General features: G+C 39.4%; 1 long non-coding RNA gene across 1 annotated transcript; it reads left to right on the top strand.

Moving 5' to 3' along the window:
- Window positions 1-3,944: 3,944 nt before the first annotated feature.
- Window positions 3,945-8,124, top strand: LINC01745 (long intergenic non-protein coding RNA 1745). Its single transcript, NR_146922.1, has 3 exons — window positions 3,945-3,966; window positions 4,544-4,762; window positions 7,994-8,124. It is a non-coding gene; the product is annotated as a long intergenic non-protein coding RNA 1745 (long non-coding RNA).
- Window positions 8,125-11,608: the final 3,484 nt, after the last annotated feature.

Here is an 11,608-nt window from a genome sequence, read left to right on the forward strand (position 1 = left end):
TCCACTTATAATTTAGAAAAACCTATGTTAACATATTTTACTTATCAAAGTTCAGTCTAGTTTTATGAATCTGAAAACATATTCTCTTGCTCTATGGTTGCAATATATTCTCTGCTTTCTTTGAGGATAAAAATTATACACATTTTGAATATTTCTTCTCCTTGTGTTTCTCTGTTTCATATTTTAGATGGTGTCTGTTGCTATGTTGCCCAGGCTGGTCTCAAACTTCTGGGCTCAAGCAATCTGCCTCAGCCTTCCAAGTAGTTCCATTCCATTGTACATGGCTATTTATTGTTATCTTTCATAATAGAGATCTTGATCAAATGTCTAGTAAACCTTGTCTGTCTTTTTATATTTAAGAGAAAGGAATTAAAAAGCTGAAAGCAAACTCTGTATGTGGAGGGAGGATCTGTTGGCAGATGGGTTTTACCGTCAGAAAGCCAACTTTTTCACTGGGAGACACCAAAATGTCCATATATATAGATTGTTTTCTATTTGACCATCCTTTTTTGCTTCTTTTCTTTCCTGCCTTCTTTTGGATTGATTACATATATGTTATGATTCCATTATGATTGCTCAAGTATTGGCTCAAGGAGTATACTTCTTGTCTTACTTTTCTATAAGTTGCTTTAGGGCTTAAAATATACATCTCTGATTTATTACAGTCTATCTTCAAGTAATATTAGACAACTTCCTGAGCAGAATTTTGTTCTCTTCTTAACATTATTTCTTTCTTTCTTTTTCCTTCTATTTCATTTTTTTGAAGAGATGGAGTCTTGTTATATTACCCAGGCTGCAGTGCTGTGGTTATTCACAGATGTGATCACTGTGCACTGTGGCCTCAAACTCCTGTGCTCAAGTGAGCCTCCTGGCTCAGCCTCTCAAGTAGCCGGGACTGTAGGTGCAGGCAATGGTGCTCAGCTGAGTTCATTTGCTCTTACTGAGTTCATTTTTCTCCCTGATAAATGTATGAAAACTATAAAATTCTCTCTAGGTATGCTTTTATTATGTCCCTTTAATTTTGACAAGTAAATAACTCACAGTAATTCAGTTCTATGTGTTATAGCATTTCTTATGATTTATCTTCATCTCAAGTGTTTGGGATAGTATTTTTTTTTTAGTTTAGTTTGTACAACTTAGTTTCAGTATTTAATTTAGTTTACTTATTAGCTAAGTCATTTAGTTTTATTTGTTTAGTTCCTTTTAATTTAGTTTAGTTTGTTAGCATAGTTAAATTAGTACTTACTAATCAGTTACTAATTTTTAACATTTTAGTCTTTTAAATTATTTTGATCCACTATTTAAACATTTAGCTTATTATTTAGTGTAATATTTAGTATGTTACTGACATTTTTCAGATACCTTTAGTATTGATTTATAATTATTGTTACTAGTATGATGTTTATTATATTTTATTATTATTATCTTATGATATTTTCATTTGGAATTTCTTGATGCTTATTTTATGGCTTCACACGTGGCCAATTTTTCTGACTATTCCATTTTCACTCAAAAGAGAATGTTTTCTACATCTATTGAGGGTGAGTATGTACACATAGTACTTATACATTAATCTTATTGATTGTATTATTTAGATTCATCTATTTGTTAATTTTTTCAATGAATGTTCAGTACCTACTTTTTTGTTACACACTGTTCTAGGCATATGAGGTGGTGAGCAAAACAAAATTCCTGCCTTTCATGGAGGCAATATTTTGCTGGTGCTGATAATAAATTAGTAAACAACACATTACATCTTACACACATATATGTGGTAGTGATAACTGCATTGGAGAACAATAAAGCAGAATAAGGGTGATAGAGAATTCAGGTCATCTGTGGTCAGAGTTAATTCATGAAGGGTAGATTAGGAAAACCTCTCTGAAAAAAATGATAATTAAACTGATCTTTTATAGACGTATTTATTTTCCTTTGCTTGACCTGTTGGTTTGAAATGGTATATTAGAAATCCCCAAAAACAATTAGTGCTGTTTTCACCAGTATCTAATGTCCCTTTTTGATTGGTATGATATGTTTTTTTTGTCTCAAGTTCTATTTTGTCAGATATTAAAATTTGAATACCATGTCTGTTTTGATCCATATTTGTATATCTTTCTCAATCTGGGTCAACCACTTGGGTTTGAATCTCAGCTCTGCCACTTACTACTAGTTTTTTTTAAATCTTGGAATGATTACGTAACCTTTATGCTTCAATTTCCTTATCTAGTAAATGGGGATATTAATAGGAACTACATTATAGTATTGTTATGAGGATTAAATGAGTTAATACTTGGAACAGGCTTAGAACAATGCCTGGCACATAGTAAGTGCTACAAAAGTTAGTAGCTGGCCGGGCGCGGTGGCTCACGCCTGTAATCCCAGCACTTTGGGAGGCCGAGGCGGGCGGATCACGAGGTCAGGAGATCGAGACCATCCCGGCTAAAACGGTGAAACCCTGTCTCTACTAAAAATACAAAAAATTAGCCGGGCGTAGTGGCGGGCGCCTGTAGTCCCAGCTACTTGGGAGGCTGAGGCAGGAGAATGGCGTGAACCCGGGAGGCGGAGCTTGCAGTGAGCCGAGATCCCGCCACTGCACTCCAGCCTGGGCGACAGAGCGAGACTCCGTCTCAAAAAAAAAAAAAAAAAAAAAAAAGTTAGTAGCTATAAAAAAAATAAAATCTTCATTTCAAATCTTTCTGTTTTCTTTTGTTTCAAGTTTGTCTCTTGTAATAACATATTAGGTTCTTCTATTTTTTAAATCCAGTGGGTGCTTTAAAATCCATTTACATTTACTCTGATTACTTTTATTATAATAAAAAATACTTCTGACATCTTATTTAACATTTTCCATTTACTGTACCTTTTGAATTTTTTCCTTCATTTCTTATTTTTCATTGGATAGATGATGTTTTTCTCCCAGCTTGAAACATAAACTATTACCTTTTTGAGAAAATATGTCCTTCCCTTTTCCTAGTATTTCTATTATTTCTTAGTCATTCTCTGGTATACACATTTTGTGTCCTGTCTTATAAGTGGTTATGTATGTTTTGATTTTCAGTCTCATAATAAATCCTCTGTTTGTCTTCTTATTTCACCTGCAGTACTACACAGTGCCTTTACACATCCATGGCTTTGACTCCCTTTACCCGTTAATGACTTGCACATCTATATATCTGTCTCAAATTTCTATCCCAATCATCTTAAACCAGTGCATTCACCTGACCTGCGCATCCCATTTGCTTGGCCCTCAAACATTTCACACTCGAAACATCCAAAACTGAACATGTTGCTTGTTCTGTGTTCCCTTTCTCCAAAAATGGTAATGCCATGTTGACAGTTGCCCAAGCCATCACTTTGACTCCTCTTTCTCCTTCTTACTCTATGTCTAATACATTACCAGGTCCTGTCAATTTTTATTCCTAAATCTGGCTTGAATGTATATGCTATTTTCCCTCCATCATCATGGGTCTAGATTACTGTAACAACCTTCAGTATGACATTTCTATGCCTGGACTTCTCCTCCCCTGCCTACCCCAATACACTCTTCTACCCTACAAACTGAATGATCTTCACAAAACAAAGTTCTGATGATGGCATTACCCACTTAATACTCTTCGATGGCATCATATTGCACTTTGGGTTTGTTAGAAATGCTTGTTCCCTGGTGCTGTAAAGAAATAGCACTTTAACATAAATTTAATTTCCTCAGCAAGCCCATTTTTTGACTTTCTGCAGAAAGGGTACACTCACCAGCAGTTTTGCCAAGAGAGTACACCGAACAAAGGAGACAGGGTAATTAATAACCTGACATGTCCACCCTATTGCTGCGTCCGGTTTCCATTGGCTGGAACGTGACCTCACATTCTGTGTTTGTCCCAACTGGCTAGCAACTTAGAACTTTTTAAAAGAGGCAAAGGCAGAGGAGAACAAAGAAAGGAGGAAGTAACCTGTGGTATGCTGAGAAAGGTAAAAACACCTTCAAATAAGGAAGAGGAACAGGCTATGACCTAATGCTTGCTTGTACCAGTATAAGCATGCCAGGGCAAATATTTAGGCTAAACTGTGGGAGTTAAGAACATAAAGTATATTAATTTCTTTATTACGGCTAGCAGATATCTAAGAATGTTAGCACAGAAGTTACTATTTATTCCTAATTAGATGGGAGGAAAGTCTTTGAAGAGGAACCTCTACTTTACTTTTTACAGGTTAAATGTTAACAGCTTTATATAGCTTAAAGGTCTCGGTGTGAGCTGAGGTTCCTGTTAACTCTCAGCTTTTCCTCTCCCAAACTTCGTAGAGAAATTTCTTCAGCCCCTCAAACATATCAGGATTTCCTCTTACCGTCATACTTTCTCACGAGTTGTTTCATCTTCCTAGAACACATTTTCCCTTCCTCTTGGTCTGGTGAAATTTAACTCAACCTTCAGAAATTTTACTCAACGTTTCTAATATTTCTACTATTTCTTATTCATTCTCTTGTATACACATTTTGTGTCATCTCTTATGAATGGTTATGTATGTTTTGATTTTCCCTTCCTCTCAGCCTGGTGAAATTGTACTCAGCCTTCACACCTCAGGTTAGATGTCATTTCCTATGAGAAGCCCGCCTCGTTCAGGACGTCCATGATCTCTCACAGCCTTCTGTGTTCCCTCCTCAACACGGTGTTTTATAGCTTTTTAAAAAATTCTGTGATCATATTATGCTCAGCAAACAGAGAGAGACTATTCTTGTTCCCTGTGCCTAGGATGTGCTTGATGTATGGTAAGTTCTCACTAAAATGCTTTGACTTGAATTGCATATCCATGCTGTACTGCAGGTTCCTGGGATTCTTTTAACTCTACAAATTTCTCTCAAATTTATCTACTAATTGTCTTCTTAGAGACAACTAATACATTTCTAGTTGTATACTTTATTGTTGATATAGTTAGGAATGGGTGCTCAGTGTCGCAAAAATCAATGCTGAGACAAAAGACCTCTCAGCAAGGCTAGTTTACTTTCTGCAGAAAGAGTGCTGCTCACTAGCAGTTTTGCCATGAGAGCACACACGAACAAAGGAAGCAGGGTCATTTATAACCTGACGTGTCCACCCTACTGCTGTGTCCAGTTTCCATTGGCTGGAACGTGACCTCACATTCTGTACTTGTCCCTATTGGCTAGCAACTTAGAACTTTTTAAAAGAGGCAAAGGCAGAGGAGAACAAAGGAAGGAGGAAGAAACCTGTGGAATGCTGAGAAAGGTAAAAACACCCTCCAAATAAGGAAGAGGAACAGGCTATGACCTAATGCTTGCTTGGACCAGTATAAGCATGCCAGGGCAAATATCTAGGCTAAAATGTGGGAGCTAAGAACACAAAGTACATTGATTTCTTTATTACGGCTAGCAGATATCTAAGAATGTTCACACAGATCTTTGAATAAATTTTGCTTCTAAGAGAAGTTACTATTTAATGCTAATTAGACAGGGAGGAAAGTCCCTTTGAAGAGGAACTCTACTTCACTTTCTACAATATCTACATTTACAGAAGAATTCTGTATTGTTTACAAAGTAATTTTCCATGGATGATCTCATTGAATTCTCTGTGTTCCTGGGATGTAAATATGAATAATTAGGCTTCTAGTGATAACAGTGAGAGAACCGAATTCCAAAGAAGTTAGTGACATGCATAATAAGATCAGAGTTGAGACATCTATTCAGGTCCTCTGCTGTGCTCATTCTCAAAAAAATGTTTTTGGTAAAATATACATAACATAAATGTAGCATCTTAATTTTTTTTTTTTTTTTTTGAGACGGAGTCTTGCACTATTGCCCGGACTGGAGTGCAGTGGCACGATCTCGGCTCACTGGAACCTCCACCTCCTGGGTTCAAGCGATTCTCCTTGCCTCAGCCTCCTAAGTAGTGGGGATTACAGGTGCCCACCACCACACCCTGCTAATTTTTTTGTATTTTTAGTAGAGACAGGGTTTCACTATGTTGGCCAGGTTGGTCTGAACTCCTTGTGATCTGCCCGCCTCGGCCTCCCAAAGTGCTGGGATTACAGACGTGAGCCATCACGCCTGGCCAATCAACTATTTTTAAGTGTACATTTTAGTAGTGTTAAGTACATTAACATTGTTGTGCAACCAATCTCCAGGACTCTTCATATTGCCACACTGAAACGACATTAATCAAACAACTTCCCTTTCCCTTCTCCCCGCAGCTCCTGGCAACCACCATTCTATTTTCTGTCTCTATGAAGTCCCCTATTCTAGATATTTCCTATAAGTGGAATCATACAGTCTTTTTCTTTTTTGTGAGTGGCTCATTTCACAGCATAATATTTTCTGTAAGTGTCATCCATGTTGTAGCATGTGTAAGAATTTTCTTCTGTTTTACCACTGAATAATTTTCCATTGTATGTATATACTGCATTTTGCTTATCTATTCATCCAACACTTGGGATGTTTTCACTTTTTAGCTATTGTGAATAATGCTGCTATGAACATGAGTGTACAAATATCTCTTCAAATTCTTCCTTTCAATTCTTTTCAGTATGTACCTGAAGTAGAATTGGTGTATCATGTGGTAATTCTATTTTCAATTTTTTGAGGAACTGCTGTACTGTTTTTCATGGCAGCTACACTGTTTTACATTCCCACCAACAGTGTACAAGCGTTCCAATTTCTCCATATCCTTGCCAACACTTATTATTTTATCTTTTTTATGGTAGCCATTCTAATGGGTGAAAGATGGTTTTAATTGGCATTTCCCTAATGATTAGTGATGTTGAGCATTTTTTATGTGCTTATTGACCACTTGTATTTCTTCTTTGGAGAAATCTCTAAGTCCTTTGTCCATTTTTTAATGGGATTTGTTTGCTTTTTTGTTATTGAGTTGTAGCTATGTTTTCTGGATATTAAGGTCTCATGGAATAAGGGCCCACAATCCCACAATATTCACAAATATCTTCTCCCATTCCATAGTTTTTTCACTCTGTTGATTGTGTCCTTTGAGCCAATCTGGTACTCTTGACATTACACTGTCTCTGTTTAGTTACAGAGGTGGTGGAAGGTGTAGATGGAGTGATAGCAATAGGACTCTACTCTTGTTATCAGACTAGGTTCACAAGGTCAAAAAGCAGCAGGGAGGGGATAGACCCCGAGCCACACAGTATGGGAATGTTGTGGGCTGGAGGGATGTGCTTTTATCCTGTCTAACATCAAGATTTATCATAGGGACTAAGGTAGTCCTAGGCCAATAGATGGGAGCCAAGTGATCCCAGCCGTGGTAAAAGAGGGGATGCCAGGCCAGGTATGGTAGCTTATGCCTGAAATCCCAGCACTTTGGGAGCCGGAGGCAGGGGGGTTGCTTGAGGCCATGAGTTTGAGATCAGCCTGGGAAACACAGCGATACTCTGTCTCTACAGAAAATCTAAAAATTAGCAAGGCATGGTGGTGCTCACCTGTAGTCCCAGCTGCCTGGGAGGCTGAGATGGGAGGATCACTTGAGCCCAGGAGTTCAAAGTTGCAGTGAGCTATTCTTGTACCACACCACTGCACTGCAGCCAGGGCAACAGAGTGAAACTCTGTCTCTAAAAAAAAAGAAGGAAAGAAACTCAAGGAAACAACTAAGAACCATCCAACCAAATGCAGGTCCTGGAAGAACCTGGTGTCCAGGTGAAGTTTATTATCAATTAAATTAATTCTAGCCTTTTACTAAAAGAACACTTGGGACCTCAGGCAAAGACATCACCAGCTTGATTGAGGTTAGAGCTTATTATTTATATACAAAGATGAAGCCAGGAATTGTATGTGTCAATGCCAGATTATTAGTGGAAGATTGGTACCATTCAGATAAAAGCTAAAGCTACCTGAATCAAATTAGGAATAAAACCCAGGTCACCAATGAGCCAGGATTGGTGGATCAAAGCTGGTTTAATTTACAGGAGACTTTAAGGTAAATTGGTTTTGTATCTGAAGTCATAATTACTATTCTTTCCCTGTTTGTGTTTAAAGGATCTGTCTCCAGCGGGACCAGAAAACCATATGTGGCAATACTTATAAACTGCCTCTAGCTATATAGATTAATACAGAATCATCTTTCTGTATGAGTTTTCCACCAATAAACATGTGTAGATATAAGCAAAGCTTTCCATTAGAGCAAATTGTTTCAGGTCCCACTGCCACCAACAGATGACATCAGTGGCTGCATACTCAGCTGTCACACTCTTTTTTTTTTTGAGACAGAGTCTCACTCTTGTTGCCCAGGCTGGAGTGCAGTGGCGTGATCTTGGCTCACTGCAACCTTTGCCTCCCAGGTTCAAGTGATTCTCCTGCCTCAGCCTCCTGAGTAGCTGGGATTACAGGCACACGCCACCACGCCTGGCTAATTTTTCTATTTTAGTAGAGATGGGGTTTCACCAGTGGTGGCCAGGCTGGTATCGAACTCCTGACCTCAGGTGATCCACCCGCTTCGGCCTCCCAAAGTGCTGGGATTACAGGCATGAGCATCCACGCCTGGCCAGCTGTCACACTCTTTATTGGTCTGTGCTTATTATTGAGCTGTTTTAAGGACATTATTAAATGCATACTATTTGAAAAGTACTATTGAGAAAATATTGAAAGCGTTCATACCTAGAGACTTAAGATTATAAGGAAAACAAAGTAAGTCACTTGTAAAAATTGAAAGTGGTGAGGAAATGACAAATGCGGCATATGCAGCTGAGATGAGTCATTTGACAGTAGGAATGATTCTCAAGGATAAACAGTGAAACATTGGTGAACAAAAAAGTCTATGCAACTGACAATAGTAGGCAAGACAAGGAAAAGAGGTGTACGTGGTTGAAAGATCAACCCTATTATTAGATGAGGTAGCTTTTTAGGCTTTAGTTTATTAGACTAAGTATTCTAAAGCCAAGAGTTAGTTAGAGAACTTGAAGACAGAACAAGGTGATGCTACTGCCAAGGAAACCTCTGTCTCGAGCTGTGTATGGTTGAATGGGTTCATGGCCATTTGAATCTGCACAAAATCAAAGTGAGAAGAGACAAATATATGTGGGATGGCATGACATCTAAGAAGTTACCAGAAACTAATTTCAGAGATCCTCAGAGCTTCGGGTCGGGATTAACTGTCTCAAAAACTTTAGATGCTTACAGAACAAACATCAGCTAGGAAAATGTGTGTCTGGTTTTAACACTTCAAAGTCATGACCCATGTCCATTTTGGTAGGAATGTACCTGGAGGCTGCAGACTGAAAACAGGCTCTCTTACTTTGGATTTATGAAAGGCTTTTCAAAGAGCCTTTTAGAACTGGAACATAATTGCATAGGTAGACAGACTTCTGAAAATCTATTGAATTTGTTTTCCCTTTTGCTGTACATTACTGCTGCAAATTCAACATACTTGCTTTCTCTGTTGTCATAGGTATCATTAGTAAAATGCTCTACACATGACCAAGGGCAATGCCTACGGATGTGCAACTAGAAAAGCACATCTCAGGATGTGCTCCATGAGTTCTGTAGAAAAAAAAAGATTCCATGATCTAGTAGGTTTGGAAAATGCTAAAATAATCAGCTAATAAAATTTGAATGTGTTTATTTTTGAGGAAGGTACATGAAAATGATTGTCATTAGAATACACCTACCTGACTTCCAACTACAGGGAGCATCAATGACAGTGGGCACCAGCCACTGCCCTCTAAACCTATCACCCCATTCGTGGTGGGCCAGGTTTCCCAGAGGCTGTTCTCAGGCAATAAACAAGAGCAATAGCATAGTAAGTTAGGCCCATTCCTGGAAGACACAAGACTCTTGGACAGCCAACTTTGGCTCAAGGACTTCCAGACAGCAGTGCTGAATGTTTAGACTTCACAGCAGTTGAAAACACTTCAACTCTATTTTTCTTGTCTCTCTCCTTTTCTTAGGGTCAGTCTTCATTATGATCTGACAGCTCTCCCAGCCTCTCCCAACTCCTTCTCCAATTTATTTCTTAGGCATTTCCCCTAATACAATTCTTCCCTATTCATTTCTATCTCGGTGTCTGCTTCTTAGACAACCCAGACAATTATAACAACTCATAAACCTCTGTGCACACAAAAAATAGCAGCTGAATATATGAGGCAAAACTTATTAGGAATAAAAGAACTGTATACAAGTGTAATATTACTGGGAAATTTTAATATAACTCTTTCATAATCAGTCATAAGTAACAGACAAAAATTAAAAACGTAAAGAAATTTATGAATCTATAATCTCTCAAATAGATAATAAAAATTATTTTCTAGGTTGATGGAACAAAGAAAGGAGAGTTCATTTCTATCATCATCCAATAGAGTTAGAATAGAGTTATAATAAATAATAAAAAGTGATGAAGTTAATACTTTGAAATTATGAAATATATCCTTAGACAAACTTTGGAACAAAAAGGCAATCAAAACTGAAACCTAGCATAACTAACCCTCAGAAGACAATGTAGAAACTTAAATGCTTTTATAAAAAGAGAAAGATTAAAATTAATGAAAATTAGTCCTGGCGCGTTGGCTCATGCCTGTATTCTCAGTACTTTGAGAGGCCGAGGCAGGTGGATCACTTGAGGTCAGGAGTTTGTGACCAGCCTGGCCAACATGGCGAAACCCCGTCTCTACTAAAAATACAAAAATTAGTCGGGCAATGGTGGCATACGCCTGTAATCCCAGCTACTTGGGAGGCTGTGGCAGGAGAATCGCTTGAACCTGAGAGGTGGAGGTTGCAGTGAGCAGAGATCACGCCACTGCACTCCAGCCTGGGAGATAGAGACTCCTCTGCCTTAAAAAAAAAAAAAAAAAAAAAAAAAAAAAAGTAATGGGCCAGGCACGGTGGCTCACTCCTTGTAACCTCAGAACTTTGAGGCCGAGGTGGGCGGATCACGAGGTCAGGAATTCGAGACCATCCTGGCTAACACGGTGAAACCCCATCTCTACTAAAAATACAAAAAATTAGCTTGGTGTGGTGGCGGGCACCTGCAGTCCCAGACCCAACTACTCGGGAGGCTGAGGCAGGAGAATGGCACGAACCCGGGAGGCAGAGCTTGCAGTGAGCCGAGATCGCGCCACTGCACTCCAGCCTGGGCGACAGAGCGAGACGCCATCTCAATAAAAAAAAAAAAAGGAAGGGAAAGGGAGGGGAGGGGAGGGGAGGGGAGGGGAGGGGGGGAGGGGAGGGGGGGAGGGGGGGAGGGGAGGGGGGAGGGGGGGAGGGGAGGGGAGGGGGGAGGGGAGGGGAGGGGGGGAGGGGGGGAGGGGGGGAGGGGAGGGGAGGGGGGGAGGGGGGGAGGGGAGGGGAGGGGAGGGGAGGGGGGAGGGGAGGGGAGGGGAGGGAGCCTTGTCAAAGTGCAGGTTAACTACCTCTGCAGTACACCTAGTGGCCACTCGAGTTGCCTTATTCCGCCCCATATCACCCCTGTATTGCCCCACACAGAGTGCAATGCCTAGTATGCAGTAGATGCTCAAAGTTGCTCTCCTCAATGTGTGTACGAAACAAGATTTAAACAAACTTTTGGTTTTGTCTTGGGAAAGAACGAATCAAAACTTCTATTATCTGGGGAGAATGCTTTAAAAATTCTCTATTTTCTCTCCCTCACTGAGAACACAGTGA

This window comes from Homo sapiens, chromosome 1 (assembly GCF_000001405.40).
Source record: "Homo sapiens chromosome 1, GRCh38.p14 Primary Assembly".
Classification (NCBI taxonomy): domain Eukaryota; kingdom Metazoa; phylum Chordata; class Mammalia; order Primates; family Hominidae; genus Homo; species Homo sapiens.